The following is a 24,001-nucleotide window of genomic DNA, read 5'->3' on the forward strand; positions in this document are numbered from 1 at the left end:
CAGATCTTGTCATTGGCTCCCATGAACTGAAGTTGAAGTTTAAGCTCCTTAGGACAGCATACACGCCCTTCTATGATCTGTTCCCAGAACATATTTACTGGTTTATCTCATATCATGGCCCACTTTGTATTTTACACTTTTGAAATACAGAAAATCATTACATTCTCCCAATAATACTAAGCTAGTATATGCCTAAAAGCCTTTGTCAATATTTTGTCTTTTGTTGAGAATTCTCTTAGCTTATTTTGTCACGTGGTTAACTCCTTATGTCCTTTCACGACTCACATGTCAAGAATTCAGGAAACCTTCTCTAACTCCCAGGCTGGGCTGAGTGACCCTTTTCTGGGTAAATAATGAACTCTAATCATACTCTTCATAGCACTTACCATACTAATTTGAAGTCTGAAGTATTCCATTTTCTGCCTCAGTTTACTTAGGCAAAGGAACCATGTCCTAGTCTCATTCTGGCCTCAGGACTTCAGCCTGGGCGACAGTGGGAGACTGTGTGTCAAAAAAAAAAAAAAATTGCCAATGATTGAAGCCTAATACTGAAGATTCTGGTTTATTAATAATTAGTCTGTTGCTGGGTGTTAATTGAGCTCCCCAAGTGATTACTCATGTAGGACTTCAAAACGATAATTTAGAACCTTGTGACTAAAAATCTGGGCAAAAATAAGCAGCATCAGTATCACCTGGGAGCAGCTTCAGGTCTCACTTTAGATTTACTCTGAATCTAAATATTATATTTTTATTAAAAAAATTAAGAACAGATGACAAGCTTCAACTACATCTAAATTCTTTAGATTTACTTTCAAAGAATCAACATTTTGACACAATACCAAAGTGAACTAAATTCGCTTTTTTTTTTTTTTTTTTGAGACAGAGTCTTGCTCTGTTGCCCAGGCTGGAGCGCAGTGGTGCAATCTCGGCTCACTGCAACTTCCACCTCTCCAGTTCAAGCGATTATCTTGCCTCGGCCTCCAAAGTAGCTGGGATTACAGGCACATGCCATCATGCCCGGCTAATTTTTGTATTTTTAGTAGAGACAGGGTTTCACAATGTTGGGTCAGCTGGTCTCGAACTCCTGACCTCAAGTGATCTGTCTGCCTCAGCCTTCCAAAGGCTGAGATTATAGACATGGGCCACCATGCCCAGCCTAAATTTGCTTTAATTTGGAGAAGTACTGGTCTAGAAAACACAAATTCCAAGGAGACTCAGGTTCTTAAGTTGATTTCTTGAGTACAAGTTCTTCAAATGCATTCTCCAAGATTAATTTTTTTTTTTACTTTTTAAATTGACAAAGATTATACATATTCATGGCTATATGGGGATGTTTCAGTACATGTAGATGGTGATCAGATCAGGGTAATTAGCATATCTATCATCTCAAACATTTATTATTTCTTTGTGTTGGGAACATTCAAACTACTCCTAGGTATTTTAAACTACATAATATAGTATTGTTAACTATAGTCATCTACAGTACTATAGAACACTAGAACTTATTACTCCTACCTAGCTGTAATTTTGTATCCATTAACAAATCTCTTACCATTCCTCCTTTCTCCCTACCCTTTTCAGCCTGCAGTATCCTCTGTTCTACTTTTTACTTCTATGAGATCAACTTTTCTTTAGCTTCTGCGTGAGTGAGAACATGTGGTGTTGAAATTTCTATTCCTGGCTTATTTTGCTTAACATAATATCCTCCAGTTCCATCCATGTTGCTGAGAATGACAGGGTTTTATTTATTCTTTTTTATGGCTAAATAGCATTCCTTGGTGTATATATACCGTATTTTAAAAATCCATTCATCTGTTGTTGGAAATCTAGGTTGATTCCATATCTTGGCTATTGTGAACACTGTTGCAATAAACATGGGGATGCAGATGTCTCTGTAATATAATGCTTTTCTTTCCTTTGGATAAATTCCCAGTAGTGGGATTGCTTGAGGTGTTTCAATACTGTTCTCCATACTGGCTGCTCTAATTTACATTCCTACCAACAGTGCATAAGAGTTCCTTTTTCTCCAGCTACTCAGGAGGCTGAGGGAGGAGAACTATTTGAACCCTAGAAGCAGAGGGAGCCAGATTACACCACCACTGCACTCCAGCCTGGACGGAGAGTGAGATTCTGTCAAAAAAAAAAGTCCCTTTTCTTCACGTCTTTGTCAGCATTTGTTATTTTTGTCTCTTCTATAATAGCCATCCTAACTGAAGTAAGATGATGCCTCACTGTGGCTTTGATTAGCATTTCCTTGCTGATTAGTGGTGTTGAACATTTTTTCATATATTTGTTGGTCATTTGTATGTCTTCTTTTGAGAAATGTCTGTTCAGAGCATTTGTTTATATTTAATTAGATTGTTGTGCTTCTTTGCTGTTGATATGTTTGAATTCCTTGTATATTCTTGATATTAATTTCCTGCCAGATGAGTTTATACTTTCTCCCATTCTGTAAGTTGTCTTTTCACTCACTTTCTTATTTCCTTTGCTGTGCAGAAGATTTTTAGCTTGATGTGATCCTATTTGTTTATTTTTTCTTTTGTTGCCTGTGCTTTTGATGCCTTATTCATAAAATATTTTCCCAGAGCAATGTCCTGAAGGATCTCCCCTATGTTTTCTTCTAGTAGCTTTACCATTTTGGGTCTTATATTTGGGTATTTGAGATACTTTGAGTTGATCTTTGTATAGGGTGAGAGGCAGAGGTCTAGTTTCATTCTTCTGCATATGGATATCCAGTTTTTCCAGCACCATTTATTGAAGAGACTATCCTTTCCCCAATGAGTGTTCTTGGCATCTTTGTAAAAAATCCGTTGGCTGAGATATGTGGATTTTCTGGGTTCTTTATTCTATTCCATAGGTCTATGTGTCTGTTTTTATGCCAATACCATGATGTTTTGGTTACTACAGTTTTGTAGTGTATTCTGAGGTCTGGTAGCATGATACATCCAGCTTTGTTCTTTTTGCTTAGGATGGCTTTGGCTATTCAGGATACTTTTTGATTCCATAAAATCTCTTTGGATTTTTTTTTAATTTTGTGAAGAATGTTCATAGGTATTTTGATAGAGATTGCATTGAATCTGTAGGTTGCTTTTGAGTAGTACTGTCACTTTAACAACATTCATATTTCTGATCCATGAGTATGAATGTCTTTTCATTTGTTTGTATCCTCTTCAATTTCTTTCATTAGTGTTTTGTAGTTTTCATTTTACCTCCTTAGTTACATTTATGTCTGGGTTTTTTTTTTTTGGTAACTATTGTAAATGGGTTTGCCTTCTTAATTTCTTTTTCAGCAAGTTTGTTGTTCATATATAAAAATGCAACCAATCTTCATGTATTAGTTTTGTGTCTTGCAACTTCACTGAATTTGTTTGTTCTAAAAGTTTTCTGGTAGTCTTCAGGTTTTCCTATATATAAGATCATGTCATCTGCAAATAGGAACAATTTGATGTCCTCCTTTCCGATTTGAATGCCCTTTATTTCTTTCTCTTGTCTAATTACTCTTGATAGGACTTCACATTTATATACTTTGAATATTTAAAATGTTTACATAAATGTCAGAATCAACTTTCATTTTTCATAGAAAAAGAAGATCCTACTTGTTTTGTAGTTTTAATATTAATCAATTATTATTATCTGAGACAAATTATTAACAAACCATCTATTAAAATATTTCACCACAAATAAATTCCATAAGGAAAATATCTACAACTGTTTTTATGAAAGAAAAAAAGGCTTCTCTACAGTTGCTTAGGCCTGGTGCCATGGCACACACCTATAAATCCCAGCGCTGTGGGAGGCCATGGCAAGAGGATCCTTTGAGCCCAGGAGTTTGAGACCAGCATGGACAACAAAGTGAGACCTCATCTCTACAAAAAATAAAAAAGAAATTAGCTGGCCATGGTGGTGCGTGCCTGTGGTCCTAGCTACTCGAGAGGCTGAGGAAGGAGGATCACTTGAGCCAGGGAGGTGGAGGTTTCACTGAACCATATTCACACCACTCCACTCCAGCCTGGGCAACAGAGCTAGACCTTGTCTCAAAAAATTAAGTTAGTTAAATTAAACATAAAGTTGCATTGTATTTAAGAAATTGGGAAAGCAGAAAATGCTTCTGTTTTTCTTTTGAGTTGAACAATGAGAACACATGGACACAGGGAGGGGAACATCACATACCGGGGCTTGTCAGGGGGGTGGGAGGCTAGGGGAGTGATAGCATTAGGAGAAATACCTAATGTAGATGATGGGTTGACGGGTGCAGTAAACCACCATGGCATGTGTATACCTATGTAACAAACCTCCACGTTCTGTACATGTATCTCAGAACTTAAAATGTAATAATAACAATAATAAAAACCTCAAAAAAAGGAAATGCTTCTTCTTAGAACAGATTACATACCCTCATTGCTTTTTATAATAGCCTGTAATAACAGAATATCCACAAGGTGGCAGTAATATATCAGTTTCATCCTCTGAAATTAAAACTTTTGCCTATTCAGTAATACAATGGATCTTTTGAACTCACTCTAACACGTAGAATACAGCAATTTGACTTAATAATTAGCCTTTAAATTTATAGTCTTGTATTATCACTTTAGTAGTTTGAATTATTTTGTATTTTAATATATTTAAATGAATTAGTCCTATAGAAATTGACTAATTTGACATGTGAAGGTGTTTTTATTCTATTTTCAGAAGTTTAGCTTTAAAAAAATTTCTAAACTTCGATATCTGGTGAGTGTCAATGTTTTTATCTTATTAAAAGCTGACAGACCACACTATATTCAACTGATTTTTTTTTAACAAGGATGCAAAATCAGTTTAAAGGAAGGATATCTTTTTCAACAAATGGTGCTACAGCAATTGGACATTCACAGGTACAAAAACTAAGACTGACCTAAATTTATACTTTATATAAAATTTAGCTCACATAAATCACAGGCTTAAATGTAAAATGTAATATTATAAAACTTAAAGTTGTGTATGGTAGCTCGTGCCTGTAATCCCAGCTACTACTCAAGTGGCTGAGGTGGAAGCATCACTTCAATCCAGCAGTTAGTGGCTGCAGTGAGCAATGATGGCACCACTGCACTACAGCTTGGGCGAAACCTCGTCTCAAAAATAATTAATAAATAAATAAATTCACTAAACTTTTTAAAATAGAAGAAAACTCTTGAGACCTTGGGCTAGGCAAAGAATTTTTAGGCTTGATATTAAAAACAAAATCTACAAAAGGAAAAAGTGATAAAACTGGACTTCATTAGAATAAATAAACACTTTTTTTTTTTTTTTTTTTTTTTTTTTTACTTAGAAAGACCCTGTAAAGAGGTTGAAAAAATGAATTACAGACTGGGAGAAATAATTTGCATACCATATATCTGACAAAGAACTTACATCTAGCATATGTAAAAAATTCTCAAAACTCAATGGTAATAAGATACCAATTAGAAAATAGGCATATGTGACCTCTCTGTATTATAACTTAAACCTCATGTGACTACAATTATTTCAAATGAAATAAACAAAACAGTAATGCCTGTTTCTGGCATATAAAATAATCAGAGAACATAGAATTGTACGAAGTTAAATTATTGGGCCATTTACTTAATTTAAATATTTTTAAATGCGTGTACCCATTTTGCTTGAAGGTGTGTGCAAGTATGCTTGTATTTTTTTTAACGATAATATGGTCACATGAGCATTAAATTTATTTTTTAAAAGTTTATAGTTACCCCACACAAGTTCTTATTGATTCCCTCATTCTTAACACCTGCATAGTATTTCATTTTATAATTAATGGATTGTAGGTTTATTCTTTTAAAATCACTTGTGTTGTTCTCATTTTTTTTTTTCACTAAAAAGTGTTGCAATGCACAAAACTAAAAATATAAGGAGGGTCTTTTCTGGATCTCTGTTGAAAAACTTTGAATAAAAATTACAAGTTCAAATCACATGCAAAATAAACATTTTAATTAATCGGGCTTTTATGCAAGATGTTAGTAGCAGTAGCAGCACAGTTTTATTAAGATCCCTGAATCTCTCACAAAAACTGACTGAGCAACTGGGATAACAAGGTATTAACTACGACAAAACAATGTAACAGGGTGTCATCATGGACGTTTTGTGAGGTTAAACCACAGGGACCCAGGGGAATCACCAATTTTTTTGGAAGAAGGAAAGGAAAGGAAAAAAATGTTTAATGGCCCTGGGAACTGGAAAACCTAGAAATACAAGTGCTAACATCTGTGTTCCTAAATTCAGAGATTCTTACTAGGCAAAAAGAACTCAGCAGATTAATCTGAGAACAGCAGCTGAGGCTGGCAGAAGGCTTCCTGGGCCTCAACTCATAGCTGAGAGTGAGGGTGGCAAAAAGCAGTGCTGTGAGTGGTCTGTTTCCTATGAACCCTACAAATTAACCACCCCCAAAACAAAGCCCTGTCCTAAGGAGAAACTGCAGGAAGTCAATTATAAATTGAGTTGGGAAGCACACTGAGGCTCAAGAAAAGGGAAGCTCCAGGTTAAGATGCAAGAGAAGAAGGGAAAAGGCAGTTTTCTGCAAGTTCAAGCACAAATAATTTCTTTACCTTCTAGTTCTGGAAATACCAGGTGCTGTGTATGTAAAGCAGGAATTTTGGTTGAATATTATATAATTTTCTGACCCACTGTTACTAATCCAGTTTCCCCTGTACTCAGATCTTCCATACTACAGACAGACCTGACAGATGCTCAGCAAATAGTAGCTAATATTTTCTAGGAAACTATGTGCTAAACGAGTTTTCTTAAATTTCTACCTCCAGGTCTGTAAGTTGATTTGAAGCATTACCAGTTTCTGGTTCTGCACAGGTTGTTGAGCGCAGGACTTCTCTCCTCCAGTGGAAAGTCCACCTGCTCACAATCAACCATCCTTTCCTGCAGCCTTGGAGACACTACTCAGTGTAGCATGCCTCCCAGTCTAGAATAGGCACACTCATCATCAGTCTCTCTCATTTTCTGTCTTATCTCCATTCCATCTACATACAGTTTTTGTTTTCACCAATGTTTTTAAATAAACAATTGTACAAGCACGACGACAACAGAAACCTTCCTTCCCCCAGTGTTGTAGTGAGCAAGGAATATATTTAACTTCAAATAAAAGACAAGAACAAATGCTGGATAAAGCTGACAGAAAGAAATGCAACTGTAGGTGCTCTGGCAATATAGAAATGATACAACTAAGAAAAATGGAAGAAAAGGAAAGAGAAAGTATTCCTCAGAATGATTTTACTGACTGCTCATCTGTAATGCCTGGGAGTCAAAGGATATTGTTTATAGAAATGTAAGCATACTTAATGGCACCAGGGGAAACAAAGTTAATATGATTAAATCAAATTGTGGGATGAAAAATCACATAGGGAGGACAAGAAAGAGAATACAGCTAATACCATTGTTCTTAGTTTAGAGACATTAGCTACTGTCTAAAGAAAGAGATGATTTTATGAAATTACATAAGGTAGCCATCAGAATAAAAGTTTAACTCTTCCAAATATCACAACATCAAAACAAAAGCAATAAAACAAGACAGCAAAAGACAGATATGTGCATATAAATCATAGCATAATATACTGTAATCAAAATATAACCAAACACAATTTATCATTAAAAGTAAGTGGGCTTGACTCTTATTAGAGGAAAAAATATTGTCAGATTAAATCAAAAAGCAAATCTCAATTCTATGCTGGATATAAGATAAAGTGTTACAGAAAGTTTAGAAATAAAAGTATAGGCAATGAATAAAAGGATCTTCTCTTCATGCGTTAGGAGTATAAAACAGTAAGTAAACACATCATATGTTTTCTGTTTTTACACTTAAATGGCTGGAGATGTTACACCACTAGTATGAATTTACTTCAGATATATAAAGGATACACTTTTATGTGGTTAGAAACAGCAATGATAATAGTTAAGGTGAAAATAACATCTGCATTGAGGCTAGGAAGAAAGAGCCATTGTTGGGTACATAGTGATCGTATTACCATGGAGCAATCTGTTCCCAACTGAAATGTCCTTGACCTTCTACTGAAATCATGTAAGATTCTGCAAAAGTAGTGTTTACTTCCCACAAATCAGCCATTTGTGGGAATGGCTGCTATTGTTGTCCACACGGAATGAGCATCAGACCTATATTTAGCTGTTGTTTCATTAAGAGTCGTATTTGGCCCTTTCCAGAGGCCGTTATTTCAATTACATTTTGGAGAATTAGTCTATTTCCAGACAAATAATTTTTCCAGAACTTTGATCCATATGAAATGTCCCTTTGGTAGGGATCCAGGGATTGAGTTTATTTTTAATTACTGTAGCATCCTGGTCAGGTTGAGAAACAGATTACCTTTATATTTCCCTGGCATGTAAGCAGGGCTAGATTTAGCGTGAGAATGCTTGAAAGTTTATAGTTTTTTAGAAATTTTATTTACTGTGTGTCTCTTTATCAAAATAAAATTAATGCTGAAAAGCTATATTAAATGAATTATTTTGAGATGGTCTCTTCCCCCTTCTTCCAGTGAGAGGATATCCACAGATATGTCAGGAGCTTGCTTTACCTAGAAATGTGTTGAGGGCCACAGGTTTGGGTTCACCTAGGAATGTTTAGGGACACCTCCCCAAGTTGTTGTTGAAGAGTGGGGTAAATGTAAGATAGAATTAGGCTCACGGAGGCCAGATGAGAGCATCATATCACCCCAGAAACATAGCATATACCTAGGAGATCTGTTCTCAGTATCAAAGTCTTAAGCACTGTAAGATTGCCTATAGACCAAGACAACAACTATATATATATATAGTTAATAAAATCAGTTAATATATAAACATATATTTATTAACTTATTTTTATTTTTATCTTCAGACAGCATCTTGCTCTGTCACCTAGGCTGGAGTGCAGTAGTGCAATTAAGGCTCACTGCAGCCTTGACCTCTGGGGCTGAAGCTATCCTCCTGCCTCAGTCTCCTAAAGTGCTAGGATGAGAGGTGTGAGTCACCTTGCCAGGCCCAGGGCAATAACTATGCAATGTTTATATAATTTGGAGCAAAAAATATTTGAAATATGTGTGCATTGCTTTTTAACCTTTTCTACTGATTTACTTTATTAAATACTGAATAGAAACAATATATTTATAAAATATTTATTTTATATATATAATAAGCACATAATGAACACCTGTGTCTCCAGTCTTGGTTTAAGAAATTAAGCCAAAAGTAATCATAAGTGCTTATGATTACTTTTGAAGTCACCTGTACAACTTTTGCTGACTACATCCCCTTCTTCAACACTCTAACGATGGCCACTGTGAGCACTGTGTATATTGAATTGTGTTGTATTTTAATACCGTGTGCACTACTTTGTTTTCCTAGCTGTATGCTATTGCATTTAGTGAGCATAATGAATTATATCAGTATAATTCACTTTTGTCATTTCATTGTTTCAGCTCTTCTGTACTAATTATTGCCAATATATTTCTACTGGCATAAAAACAGACACATAGGACAGTGGAACAGAATAGAGATCGCAGACAAATCTACACATTTACAAACAATTCATCTCTGACAAAGGCATCAAGAACATACACTGGGAAAACAACAGTCTTTTCAATAAATGATCCTGGGAAAACTGAATAACCATATGCAGAAGGATAAAATTAATCCCATCTCACCATACACAAAAATCAAATCAAATAAAAATGGATTAAAGACTTGAATCTGAGACCTGAAACTATGAAGCTAGTAAAAAAAAAAAAAAATAGGAAAGGCCGGGCGCGGTGGCTCTTGTCTGTAATCTGAGCACTTTGGGTGGCCAAGGCGGGCGGATCACAAGGTCAGGAGATCGAGACCACCCTGGCTAACACGGTGAATCTCCGTCTCTACTAAAAATACAAAAAACAAAAAAAAAATTAGCGGGGCATGATGGTGGGCGCCTGTAGTCCCAGCTACTCGGGAGGCTGAGGCAGGAGAATGGCGTGAAAAAAAAAAAAAGAAAGAAAGCAAGCATAGGAGAAATGCTCCAGGACATTAGTCTGGGCAAAGATTTTTTTGCGTAAGACCTCGGAAGCACAGGCAGCAAAAGCAAAAATAGACAATGGGATTATATCAAACTAAAAAGCCTCAAGCAAAGGAAACAATCAACAAAGTGAAGAGCCAAGCACAGAATGGGACAAAATATTTTCAAACTATCTATCTGACAAAGGATTAACAAGTAGAATATATAAGGAGCTCAAACAACTCAATAATAAACAAACAAAAAATCTGATTGAAAAATGGGCTACTGAAGAGGCTGAGGTAGGAGGATTTCTTTTTTTTTTTTTTTTTTTTTTTTTTTTTTTTTTTAATGAGATGGAGTCTCGCTGTCGCCCAGGTTGGAGTGCAGTGGCGTGATCTCGGCTCACTGCAGGCTCTGCTCCCCCGGGGTTCACGCCATTCTCCTGCCTCAGCCTCCTGAGTAGCTGGGACTACAGGCGCCCGGCACCAATCCCGGCTGATTTTTTGTATTTTTAGTAGAGATGGGGTTTCACCATGTTAGCCAGGATGGTCTCGATCTCCTGACCTCGTGATCCGCCCACCTCTGCCTCCCAAATTGCTGGGAATACAGGCGTGAGCCACCGCGCCCGGTCAGGAGGATTTCTTAATCCCAGGAGTTTGAGGTTACAGTGAGCTATGATTATGCTACTGCCCTTTAGCTTGGGTGACAAAGCAAGACCTTACTTCTCAAAAAAAATAGTTAAAAATATATAAATAAATACAATTTAAAAATGGGCTAAAGATCTGAACAGATATTTTCTCAAAAGAAGACAAACAAATGGCCAATAGGAAGACAAAAAATATTCAGTATCACTAATCGTCAAAGAAATGCAAATCAAAATCACAATGCAATATCATCTCACCTTGGTTGAAATGACTTGTTTCAAAAAGACAGGCAATAACAGATGCTGGCAAGGATGTGGAGAAAGGGAAATACTAGTACACTGTTGGTGGGAATCCACATTAATAAAGCCACTATGGAGAATAGTATGGAGGTTCCTCAAAAAAGTAAAAATAGAACTACCATGTGGTCCAGCAATTTCTTTACTGGATGTATATCCAAAATAAAGGAAATTAATGTATCAAAGACATATCTACATGCCGATGTGTACTGCAGCACTATTCACAATAGACAAAATATGGAATCAACGTAAGTGCTCATCAACAAATGAATAGATTTTAAAAGTCATATATATACATAATGCAATACTACTCAGAAACAAAGAAGAATGAAATTCTGTCATTCACAGCAACATAGGTGGCACTGGCCATTTGGTTTAACGTAATGAACATAGGCCATTATGTTAAGTGGAATGAGCCAAGCACAGAAAGGCAAATACCACATGTTGTCACTCATATGTGGGCAGTAAAAAAGTGGATCTCATGAAGATAGAAAGTAAATTGGTGGTTGCTAGAGGCCAGCAAGGGGAGTGGGAAGAGGAGATTAAGAGAAGAAAATATAAATGTATTTATCACCACTAAACTGTCCTCTAAAAATGTACAGATGGTAAATTATATATATATATATTTTAACTCAATAAAAAGTTAAAAAAATTCTGCTGTGTGTTTATAGGGCACATGTACAAGACTTTCTCTAGGGTTGTATCAGTTTTCTATTCCTGCTGTAACAATTTACCACAAATTCAGTGGCTTAAAAGAACACATTTTTGTAAGATTTGAGTCAGTTTTAAAAAACACACACAGACTTATTGTCTTAGAATTGTTTTGGTTGGAAATCTGGCATGGCTCTCACTGAACTAACATCAAGATGTTGGCAGGCTGCATTTCTTTCTGAAGGCTCTAAAAGAGCATCTGGGTTGTTGGCAGAATTCAGTTCCTTGTGGTTGTAGATCCTCAGTTTCTTCCTGGTTGTAAACTTTGGGTCATTCCCAGCTTCTAAAGGTCACTGGCTTTTCTTGGCTTGTGGCCCCCTACCACTGTTTTAAAAGCCAGTAATAGCAGGCCACATCTTTCTCATACTGCCATCTGTCTGAATCTCAGCATCCAGAAAATATTCTCTGCTCTCAAGGAATTATGAGATTAGACTGGCTCACCAAGGTAATTCAAGGTAATTTCCCCATTTCAATGCCCTTAATGGTAATCACATCTGCCAAGTCTCTTTGAACATGCTAACTTACGTTAGCATGTTCACCTTATCTGAAGACTGGGATGTGGCTGTCTTTGGTGGGGGGCAATTATTCTGCCTAACCCAAAGATACACAACTTGCAGATATACAACTAGTTCATGGAGATGAAACATTTTCAAATCTACAAGAAAATGTTTTCTAAAATGAGCATTGCATATTAGACTTTCACGAGCACTGTATCAGACTTATATTTACTTCATAATATTGCCAATACTGATATCAGATATTTAATTTTCTAGCCAGTTCAGGATAATGTGAATTGTGAATAATATATTTGTTCATCCAGTCAACAAACATTTTTTATCAGATACCACCGATATGCTGGACAGTGTCATGGATCCTAAAAATATAGCTGTTATTATTATTTTTTTAAACAAAATCCCCACTGTGATAAAGCTTTTATTCTTTGGGACAGGCAGACAGTAATCCAGATAAATAAATGCAAGGGAAAATTGGGGGAAAAATTGGAATGGAGAGCTCAGAATCTGGCCCCAGAGAAGGGCAGAGGGAAAGGGGACCCAGTTCAGAATCTCGGTGCGTCCACACCAAACAATTCCATGAGGGCTGAAGAGACAGAGCTGAAAGGCTTGTCTGACATCACAAAAGACAGAAAAGTGAGCCCCATTTTCATCTCTATCCTGACAATGTTCCTGGCTTGATTTCCTCCTTCCAGCAGACACAAGAATCAGGGAGCGCACCCTGATGGTAACATTTTTTTCAGGGGCCTATTTTGGGGATCCTGGTGAGAACCTGAGTCCGTCACTGTCCACGGCAGCCCAGCATGGTCCCCAGTGCGTGGTCCAAGGCCAAGATTCTCTACCTCCATCCTGGAGGCAGAAGAAATGTCTGGGGGAAAATGAGAGGTTTTAGGTGGTTGGCACTGGGTGAGACCAAGGAGAAATTTTAAAGCTGTGTGTCCTGGGGCCGGGGGTGGTGGCTCACGCCTGTAATCCCAGCACTTTGAGAGGCCGAGGCGGGCAGATCACGAGGTCAGGACATTGAGACCATCCTGGCTAACGGTGAAACCCCGTCTCTACTAAAAATACAAAAAATTAGCCGGGCTTGGTAGCGGGCGCCTGTAGTCCCAGCTATTCGGGAGACTGAGGCAGGAGAATGGCGTGAACCGGGAGGCGCAGCTTGCAGTGAACTAAGATCGCGCCACTGCACTCCAGCCTGGGTGACAGAAAGAGACTCCTTCTCAAAAAAATAAAAATAAAATAAAAATAAAAAATAGAAAAAGCTGTGTGTCCTTTGTTTCTTCATATTTTGCAGATTTTTGATGTCAAAATATTTTCATAGTCAAAAGAGTGTTAATAAAGAATGACTTCTCTGTTATAAAAACCCTAATAGTGAATGTATTTACCAAGAAATTAGATTCTATCTTTGGTTTTTTGTTTTTTGCCCCGTAGTTTTTAAAAAAATAGTTTTATTGTGTGGATATTCTACAGTTAGTGTATCTATTCACCTCTTGATGGACATTTGGTTTGCTTCCAGTTGTTTTTGCTATTTCAAATAAAGTTGCTACGAATGTTTGTCCAATCGTTTGGACATACACTTTCATTTGTCTTGGGCAAATAAGCAGGATTTGAATGACTAGGTGGTGTGATATGTTTAACTTTTTTTTTTTTTTTTTTTTTTTTTTGAGACGGAGTCTCGCTCTGTCGCCCAGGCTGGAGTGCAGTGGTGCATCGCGGCTCACTGCAAGCTCCACCTCCCGGGTTCACGCCATTCTCCTGCCTCAGCTTCTGGAGTAGCTGGGATTACAGGTGCTCGCCACCACGCCCGGCTAATTTTTTGTATGTTTAGTAGATATGGGGTTTCGCCGTGTTAGCTAGGATGGTCTCGATTTCCTGACCTCGTGATCCGCCCGCCTTGGCCTCCCAAAGTGCTGGGATTACAGGCGTGAGCCACCGCTCCCAGCCAGTTTAACTTTTAAAGAAACTGACAAAGTGGCTGTATTTCCAGCAGCAGTATATGAGCATTCCTGTTCCTTTGTGTTCTCACCAATGTTTAGTATGGTCAGTCTTTTAAATTTTAGCTATTCTAATAGGCAAGTAACAGTATCTCATTGTGGTTTTAATTTACATTTCCCTAATGATGAATGATGTGCTTATGTATCGTCCATCTGTATTCTATGGTGAAATGTCTGTTCAGATCTCTACATTTGTGTTAGACTATTTGTTTTCCTATTATTGAGTCCTGAGAGTTCTTTGCATATTTTGGATAACAAATGTATCTTCACCAGATATAGCTTTTGTAAATTTTTACTCCCAGTCTGTGATTTGTCTTTTTATTCTCTCGATAGTGTTTTTCTTTTTTCTTTTTTTTTTTTTTTTGACAGAGTCTGGCTCTGTCACCCAGGCTGGATTTCGGTGGCACGATCTCGGCTCACTGCAAGCTCCGCCTCCCGGGTTCACGCCATTCTCCTGCCTCAGCCTCTACGAGTGGCTGGGACTACAGGCGCCCGCCACTACGCCCCGCTAATTTTTTGTATTTTTGGTAGAGAGGGGTTTCATCGTGGTCTAGATCGCCTGACCTCGTGATCCACCCACCTCGGCCTCCCAAAGTGCTGGGATTACAAGCGTTAGCCACCGCACCTGGCCTCTGGACAGTGTTTTTCACAGGTCAGATTAATTTTTATATAAATCATTTATTTTATTTTTATTATGTAAAATTTTATAATTTTTAATTTTATTTTTAATTTCCTTTTTAAAAGTTAAATAAAATTTTAAGTGTAATGATGCAAAATTTTGTTTAAAAGTAAATGCATATAAAAATGTTGATATAGACTAAAAAATTGAATAAGTAAGAAGGTAGTTAGTTGTCACAGTAGGAGTGAAGTGAAAAGCTTCCCCTTTCACCCTCTGAAGATTACCGGAAATGAACTGACCATACACAGATTAATAAAAGAAAGGGTATACAAACTTACATAACCTGCAAAAACATGAGAGCTATACACAAAGTATAAGACTTGAAGACGGCTCAGATCTTAAACGCTCTCCTCATAGGCAATAGATATATAGACCCAGGATGCAGACATTATTTTGTAAATAATTTCCTTTGGAAGCTGGATGGGACAGACAAATTACAGGAAGGTGAGAGATGGAACTGCACAGGAAAAAAGTTTGTCTTTGTCACTTTAATCTTATCATTACTAGAGAATATTTATGAATATTTTAGAATAATATATTTTTAAGCCCAAATCTCACCAAATGTTTTTTCTAAAACAAATACTTTTTGTTGTTGTTTGTTTTTGTTACTGTGTCTCACTCTGTCACCCAGGTATGGAGTGCAGTGGTGCAACCATGGCTCACTGCAGCCTTCACCTCCTGGGCTCAAGTGATTCTCCTACCTCAGCCTTCCAAGTAGCTGGGCTACAGGCATGCACCCTCATGCCCTGGTAATTAAAGAAAAAAAAATTTCGTTAGAGACCAAGTCTCATTATGTCACCCTGGCTAGTCTTGAACTCCTGGAATCAACTGATCCTCATGCCTTGGCTTCCCAAATTATTGGGATTATAGGTGTGAGCCACAGTGACTGACCACATATTTCTATACTTCACTGAGGAAAGGAAGGTGCTAGGAAAATTGGTTAAGAACTATTTTTTAAAAAGCTATTAGTAGTGTTTTATTTTATTTTTTAATGATTGATTTTTGAGATTGGGATCTCACTATGTTGCCCAGGCTGGTTTCACATTCCCAAGTTTAAGCAATACCCCTGCCTCAGTCTCCCAAGTAGCTGGGATGACAGGTGTGTGTCACCATACCCAGCTCCATTAGTAGCGTTTTTAACAATTGTGGGCCACTGAGTAAGAATAATTTTTTTTAAATTAAAGGTTATTTTTTAAAAAGCACATTTGTAGAAAATTACTAGCATAATCTGCCTAAAATAAATATACATATTGAAAAAATCTTTGCTCCGAACAAAAAGAAATATATTCACCACACATACATACATATACACACACACACATGCACACACGCACGCGCGCGCACACACACACACACACACACACACACACACATTATGGAAGATTTCAAGACCAGGCAATAATTTCCACTCAATCCAAAAACAATGCAATCCCAGAGCTGAATATTTAGGTGAAAATATATCAGGAATGGGAGGCATTCAGGTTTAATTTTCATGTTTTGGTAGAGTTAGGATGTGAGTTTTCATTTAAAAATATTCTTTATTTTTTTTGCTACTATTGTGGTTTCTGTATTGTTACTATACAATCTGTAAACTAAATAGTAAAGGAGAGAAAAGTGATTTTCAAAGAAGCTGGCTTGGGAACAGGTACTATTCTGGGAAGATGAAAGGTTTCACTTAATGACTGGTACCTGTGCCACTCTGGTTATTTTAACTGTTAACCTTTTAGCAAGAGGTTTTTCTTTTAAAAGACATCCTTTAATATTTGGGAAGCTAGTGCAATAGTACACATTGAGGCCCACATACCACATGCCAAATATTTAAAAGGCACATTTCTAGCTAACCACTGTACATACATATATTTTTTCTTATTTTCTGATTTTAGTTTTTTTCCTTGTCAACAATTTATGTCCACACATATCTTCTATCATCCCACTTTGACAAGTAATATTATACCTTCAAAATGATGTGGAAGACTAGATTGGAATTTAGAACCGTAGAACCTTGTAATTGTACAGGCAAGTTTCTTCCTGGGAAAAAATAAAACAGGAAGAAAAGGCTGGGCAGCCTCTGGTTCAGGAAGGAAATTCAGGAGTCCCTTATAGCAGCATCTCTAGTACTTGGGAACCGAACAGACTTCTCGGCCTGTGAGGCTGGAATGGGCCCTTCTGGAGAACACGACAGAGAAGTTATCTACTGCCTTTGCCCCCAGGGCCCAGGCAACACTTTTACCCTCCATTGTTTCCGAAGTTAAGGGGAGGAGACAATGTTTTGTTTAGTGACCTCGACAGAAAAAGTGTCCTCCTGCAACCACTCATTTGTTACTTTCCTTCTTCCTGAATTGCCTGGACCCACTCCTCCTCCATTTGACTGGCTCTGTGCACTGATCTTATAGTCAGGAGATTTTTGGGAATTGTGGCTTCTAAAAATGTACACCCGACTCTACCCATAGCTGGCCCTGTGAACCTACACACCTGCTCCACTGTGTATCCTTCTCAAAGAGACACTCTTCCTGCTGAGTCTCTGCCCTCTGCTCCTAGATCCAAATGGCATCTCCTACCCTATCCCTGTATGGTTTAACCTAGGGAAACTCTTTCCCAGAGGAGTCAGGTAAGGAGACAGTGGCTGAGCTTCTTACAGACTTAAAGGAGACATCCTGGAATTTAGGAGTCAGTCCTTCCTTTCTGTAATCCCTGGCAGCTCCTGCTGCTGCTCAAAGTTTAGCTTTGTCTCTCATCCAGCTCAGACTTTTGCTGGTCCTGATGGCCTCTGCTTAGCTGTATTAGTACGCTCTTGCATTCCTATAAAGAAATACATGAGAAATACCTTTAGTTGGCTCACAGTTCCATAGGCTATACAGGAAGCATGGTGGTTTCTGCTTCCGGGGAGGCCTCAGGAAACTTTTACTCAAGGTGCAGGGCAAAAAAAAAAAAAACAAAAAAAAAACAAAAAAAACTACCAGCACTGCACTGTGAGGCCCTGATCCCTGAGCTAACTTCATATTATTACCTCTACAGCAAGTGTCCGTGAGAACATAGATATATTTCTTATGTGAGTACACAATTTACAGAAGAGGAACTACCCTCCCAAACCAAAACGTCATAATTTTAATTTACCAGCAAACCTAGGTTGCTTCTGTGAAATGATCTCATTTGCTGAGTTTTAAAATTGACTAAATTTCCCAATTTCCAAATGAAAATATTTAGTTATCTTGTCTTGCTATGTGTTTTTGGTTAATATGATGATTAATTTTTGGTCTATTACTTAATATATTCCATGATTGTTGATATGGATTATAAGGACTCACAAAATAGTTTTCAGATGTCTTTAATTTTTTTACTTAGTGTAGATCCTATAAATGGATTAGAAGTATTCTATTAACTCCCATGTATTCAGAAATCGAATTGGAGTGGTAAATTCTGTTTGAAGTAACAAGGGATATCAAAGGAAAAAAATAATTTTGTGACTATGTCTTCTATACGTAAATTTTTCAGGCATCTTTATCAATGGCTTATACTAAAGACATTTTCTGGATCATGGGTGACACACAGAAGACCTGTGGATAAGTGGCATTGTGTACACTACTGCATTTTATCATCTGGTTCATTTTTCAACTTTTATTTCTCTTAAGGATGTTTTATTAACTGGTGCATCACCAGGTTACCAGTCTCTGGAACACTAAACTTACCAGAAAATACTTGTTGATTGAATTAACAAGACAACAACATTAGAAAACAGTGGTGGCTTGTTTTTGTCCATTGCAGTATCTTGGAGAGTAAAGCCTAACTCTTTAATTTTGGCCAAAGATATAAAGAAATACCTGAGAAACACCTTTAGTTGGCTCATGGTTCCGTAGGCTATACAGGAAGCATGGTGGTTTCTGCTTCTGGGGAGTCCTCCAACACTTACTGGCAGGGTAATTTTGAAGAAGTCATAATAAGATGGTTGTTACAATTAAATGAAATAATCAAAGTGGAAGAGCTTAGTTAGCTGTCTTCCCTAAATGAATCACTGGCAAGTAAGAGTGTGATTGATTTTCCTACCAGTCAGGACTCACCCCTTGAAGCTATAGGAGGGTAAACCTCTGAAGACCATACAATTTAGGGAACACTAACACCTCAAAAAACTCTGTAAACTTCCTTCCTTCCTTTTCTTCCTTCCTTCCTTCCTCCTTCCCTCCCTCTCTCTCTCTCTTTTTCTTTCTTTGTTCATTTCTGAGACAGAGTCTTGCTCTGTCATTCAGGCTAGAGTGTAGTGGCTGGATTATGGCTCACTGCCGCCTTGACCTCCTAGGCTCAAGCAATCCTCTCACCTCAGCCTCCCTAGTAGCTGGGACTATTGGCATGCTCAGCTAATTTTTTTCTCCTTTTCTTTTTGTAGAGACAGGGTCTCATCATGTTGCCCAGGCTGGTCTTGGACTCCTTGGATCAAGCAATCCTGCTGCCTCAGCCTCCCAAAGTGCTGGATTACAAGCATGAGCCACTGTGCCCAGCCTTAAGTTTTTTTCATACAGGAGGAAAGAATTTGGAAAGTAGGTGTGTGTGTGTGTGTGTGTGTGTGTGTGTGTGTGTGTGTGTGTGTTGGTTAGGGAGCCAACACATTTTTCTGCAAAGCTTGAATTCTATGCCTCAGTTTTTCATTTTTGTTATGTGCAAAATAAAATCGTATCCTGCTATAGATTTAAACCTGTGAGCGAATCCTACTCAAAACCTGATTCAAACTTTGTGTAGATCTTTGCCTCTCTGTGGCATAAGAATAAATTCTTCTGGTTTTCTTCCCTCAGAAAAATGGACTTAGACTTCCCACAAGCCTTCCAGAAAGAACTCACCTGCCTCATCTGCCTGAATTACCTCATAGACCCCATCACTATAGGCTGCGGGCACAGTTTCTGTAGGCCCTGCCTCTGCCTTTGCTGGGAAGAAGCACACACTCCTGCCCTGCATGCAGGGAATTGTCACAGCAGGAAGATTTCAACCAATATTCTTCTGAAGAATCTAGTGTCCATTGCCACAAAAGCCAGTCTCTGGCAATTCCTGAGCTCTAATGAACAAATGTGCGGGATCCACAGGGAGACAAAGATGTTCTGTGATGTGGGCAAGAGCCTGCTCTGTTTTCTGTGTTCTAACTCTCAGGAACACTGGGGCACAGAAACACTGGCTCACTGAAGGGGCAGCTAAGGAACACTGTGTAAGTGATGACTCAGAGCACTTTGAAAGCTGGAGGGCAGCACAGGTAAAGAGATTAGGAGGAAGATGAAGAGCACGAGGATTAATCTATTCTTTACCGAGTGTCATGTACTGCCTAGGTATCAGTGATATAACTATTATCCTGCTATCAAATCTACTGATAAGTGGCTCATTTAACTTATAGGCACTCATCACAATGCAAGAAATCCTCTGACTGCTCCTACCATCATGGCCCCTAGCCATGATATGACTTGTCTCCACACTAGCAGAAACTAATCGAGTCCCTATATTAGGGATAAGTGGCATTTTTATATATATATATATATATATATATATATATATATAATTTTTATATATAAATTTTATATGATATATAAAACATATTTATACAATATATATTATATACATATATACATACATATATACATACATATATATATATATATATATATATATATATATATATATATATATATATCACAATGCCAAAAATGTTTTGTCTTCGAAATAATCACAGTGCATTTGGAGAGACAAATGCATCTACAACCAGGCGACAACACTGAAAATAAAATTGTAGCAGTTTGAATAGGGGATTAAATGAGTTAATTTTTTCCTGGGGTTCAAAAAAAGAAACAGCAGCAAAAAATGGTACTTAAGATTGAAAGTTGGCCGGGTGCAGCTACTCATGCCTGTAATCTCAACACTTTGGGAGGCCAAGGTGGGCAGATAACCTGAGGTCAGGATTTCGAGACCAGCCTGGCCAACACGGCGAAACAACACCATTACTAAAAATACAAAAATTAGCTGGGCATGGTGGCAGGTGCCTGTAATCCCAGCTACTCGGGAGGCTGAGGCAGGAGAATCTCTTGAACCCAGGAGGCAGAGGTTGCAGTGAGCCAAGATCACGCCATTGCACTGCAGCCTGGGTGACAAAAGCAAAACTCCATCTCAAAAAAAAAAAAAAAAAAGAAAGTTCTGGGTTATGACACAGAACAAATGCAACATGAATATGTCATGGTTATGAACATGTAGACTACTCAAGATTGTGTATTTTTAAAATAATAGAATACTAGGTTAAAAAATGAGCATTACAAAATGAAAAATAAGCCACAAATTAGCAGAAGATAATTGTAACACATAAAAACAAAGGATTAAATACAATGGTAATGTAATGATAGCTATTCTTACAAAGTTGTTTCTATGTCTCAGGTACTATGCTGAACAACATACGTGCATCTTGAATGCGTGAAGAATTCCTATATAAGAAAAACACAAACAACAACATTTAAAATGAGCAAAAAACCCGAATAGGAATTTCACAGAAGAGAAAACATAAATGGCCCATAAACATAATAAAAGATACTCAACTACAATTCTAATCAGGGAAATAAATATTAAAACCCCAAAGAGATACCACTTCATACTCTAGGAAAAACCTAAAAGGCTGTGAATATCTAGTTTCATTGAGGAAGAACAATGGGAAGACTATTCACTGCTGGTGAGGGTGTAGATTGGTACAACTGCCTTGGAGAACAGTATGATGCCACTCAATAGAGCTGAACACACACATGCCCAATGACCAAGCAATTCCACTCCAGGTACATACTGGAAAAATACTCCTGCACAAGTAGAATAGGAGACACTGCATAACAAAGTTCACTACAACATGAGGCTGAGGTGGGAAGATGGCTTGAGACCAGGAGTTCGAGGCTGCACCAGTAGCTGGGACTATAAGCATGTGTCACCGTGCCTGGCTAATTTTTTGCTGTTGTGGTTGTTGTTAGAGATGAGGTCTTCCTTTATTGAACAAGCTGGTCTCCAACTCCTGGCTTCAAGTGATCTTCCCACTTCTGCCTCCCAAAGTGCTGGGACTACAGGTGTGAGCCACCATGCCCAGCCAAGTTCTGCTTCTTAACCTGAGGTAGATACTTTGATGTTTCATTTTGCTTTATTGTACAGATATACTTTATATTCTCATATGTGACACAAGTCAAAATTTAAAAAAACAATTTAATGTTTATTCCCTTTAGATGAATGATGGGCAAATTTACATAATGAATTCATTACTGAAACAATGTATAGATTTCAGACTAGGAAAGTAACTATTTATAAAAGAAAAGCTTAAAACCTGAAACAGAAACAAAATCCTGAAACTGTAAAATTGAGTCAAACTAAAATTTAAAAAACAAAGCAATGATATAAAGTATCATTTGTCCAAATGTGTTCTACAAAACGCTTTTTTCTTAAATATGTCTGAGGAAAAACAGGTTCTAGGAGTAAAATATGTTTGAAAAATGCTGAGTTAAACAACTGAACCTATGAAGGAAGGAATAGAACTTCTCAAGCTCTTGACTCTGGAATCTTTTTTACATGGCAATTAACACCATGCTTCTTCTTGGATTTGTATTTCAGATAAACACAATCTGGGAAACATTTTATAATACAGAGGGCCACACCAGATTGAATATTGCCCCCAGGAATGAAATGAAAACAGGAATGGATTCTCCAGTAAGAGGTACCCAGATATCCTAATCTTCAGTAGCTGACCTAAACCCTGGACAAGTGGGATCAAATCCCATAACCAAACACAACTTTTTAGGAACTAAGTGGATAATCACTCTGTGTTGTATGAACATGTGGGCAGTGTGTTTCCTACACAGCTTAAAAGTGCAACAAAAAAAGATCTAGGTGTCATATAAAGAATTTCTACCACTGTTAGGGTAATGGTGGACTGACAGGCAGAGGGGCTCAGATGTGACTTAAGTAAAGTTCAATAGAAGCTTCCAGCACAGATATTCATGTTTCAAATTGGACCACTCAGTTAAAAAGTTTTCCCATTAGACTTCCCCTAATCAAATTAGAAATTATCTAATTTTCTAATAAAGTTTTCCCCAGGCACAAGGAATCTGTGAACTGGACCTAAAAAATTCTTCGTAATGTACTTTTATTACCATAAAAGATGCACATTTATTTTAAAAACTTCTCTACACCACTATCATAAACCTTTGCACACACTTATTTCTTTTGGAAGCTAACTTCTGAGTGGTAATGAAATATATTCTTAAGAAAAAAGTCCGACACAATGCCTTTGCGTCTTAAAATATGTTAAAATATTATTTGAAAAGAGTCAAACATCTGTCTTTTCAGGGTATCACAGGGCGTCAAACTGGAAAATGTGGCACTGCCTGGAGTTTCTACCTGGTGAAGGGTGGCAGACTTTTCTCTTCAGAGGACTCTTGACAGGGTAGCATCCATTATCTTGCCAATTTACTACAACCTAGGCCCAATCCTCAGTCTTATAGGTTCAGAAATTTATTTTTATCAGCATCAACAGGGTAGCTACATTGCTTAGAAGCAAACAAAATTAACCATGCTTCAATAGAAATCAGGATATAGATGTATTAATACAGAATGACAAATATAACTGTGACAGAAATAGGAATGCCTGTTTATGGTCATATACGGCCAATACTTTCATTACAGCCAAACTCATATATGCAGCCAAATAAGAGGCCCCTGGATACACAGGGAATCAGAATAAAAAAAGAAGAACTGAACATTTAATAGTCTTCTTTCATTCAATCAATAATTTTTTTTAATTAAGCAACTACTATGTCTGGGTAACCTTCTAGGTCCTGGGGATACAGAGGTCTCTGCTTACAGAAGTCATATGTAAGTAGCAGGTGAAGAGTATGTGTTTCACAGAAGTTTATTACAATATATTAACAAGAGCAAAAAATTTTGGAAGCAATCTAAATGTTCAATAATAGAGCTCCAATTAAATAACAATAAATCCAAATAATGAAAAATAATGCAGCCCTTTAAGAATAAGCACTTGCAAGCCGTAATTCATGACATGGGAAAATTATCATAATGGAAAAAGAAGCAAGCTATATACAGTGCATGATCCTATACACACACATACATACATACATATTTCCTATCCCTTTATATGCATAAGAAAACAAGCGGGAGGAAAGT

The 24,001-nt window shown here is 37.5% G+C and overlaps 1 long non-coding RNA gene across 1 annotated transcript; it reads left to right on the plus strand.

Moving 5' to 3' along the window:
- Nucleotides 1-12,014: 12,014 nt before the first annotated feature.
- LOC101928381 (uncharacterized) lies at nt 12,015-22,921 on the plus strand. The gene is made up of 5 exons (NR_121570.1): nt 12,015-12,096; nt 19,215-19,365; nt 19,618-20,021; nt 21,805-21,941; nt 22,433-22,921. It is a non-coding gene; the product is annotated as an uncharacterized LOC101928381 (long non-coding RNA).
- The last annotated feature ends 1,080 nt before the right edge of the window (nt 22,922-24,001 follow it).

This window comes from Homo sapiens, chromosome 9 (genome assembly GCF_000001405.40).
Source record: "Homo sapiens chromosome 9, GRCh38.p14 Primary Assembly".
In the NCBI taxonomy this organism is placed as follows: domain Eukaryota; kingdom Metazoa; phylum Chordata; class Mammalia; order Primates; family Hominidae; genus Homo; species Homo sapiens.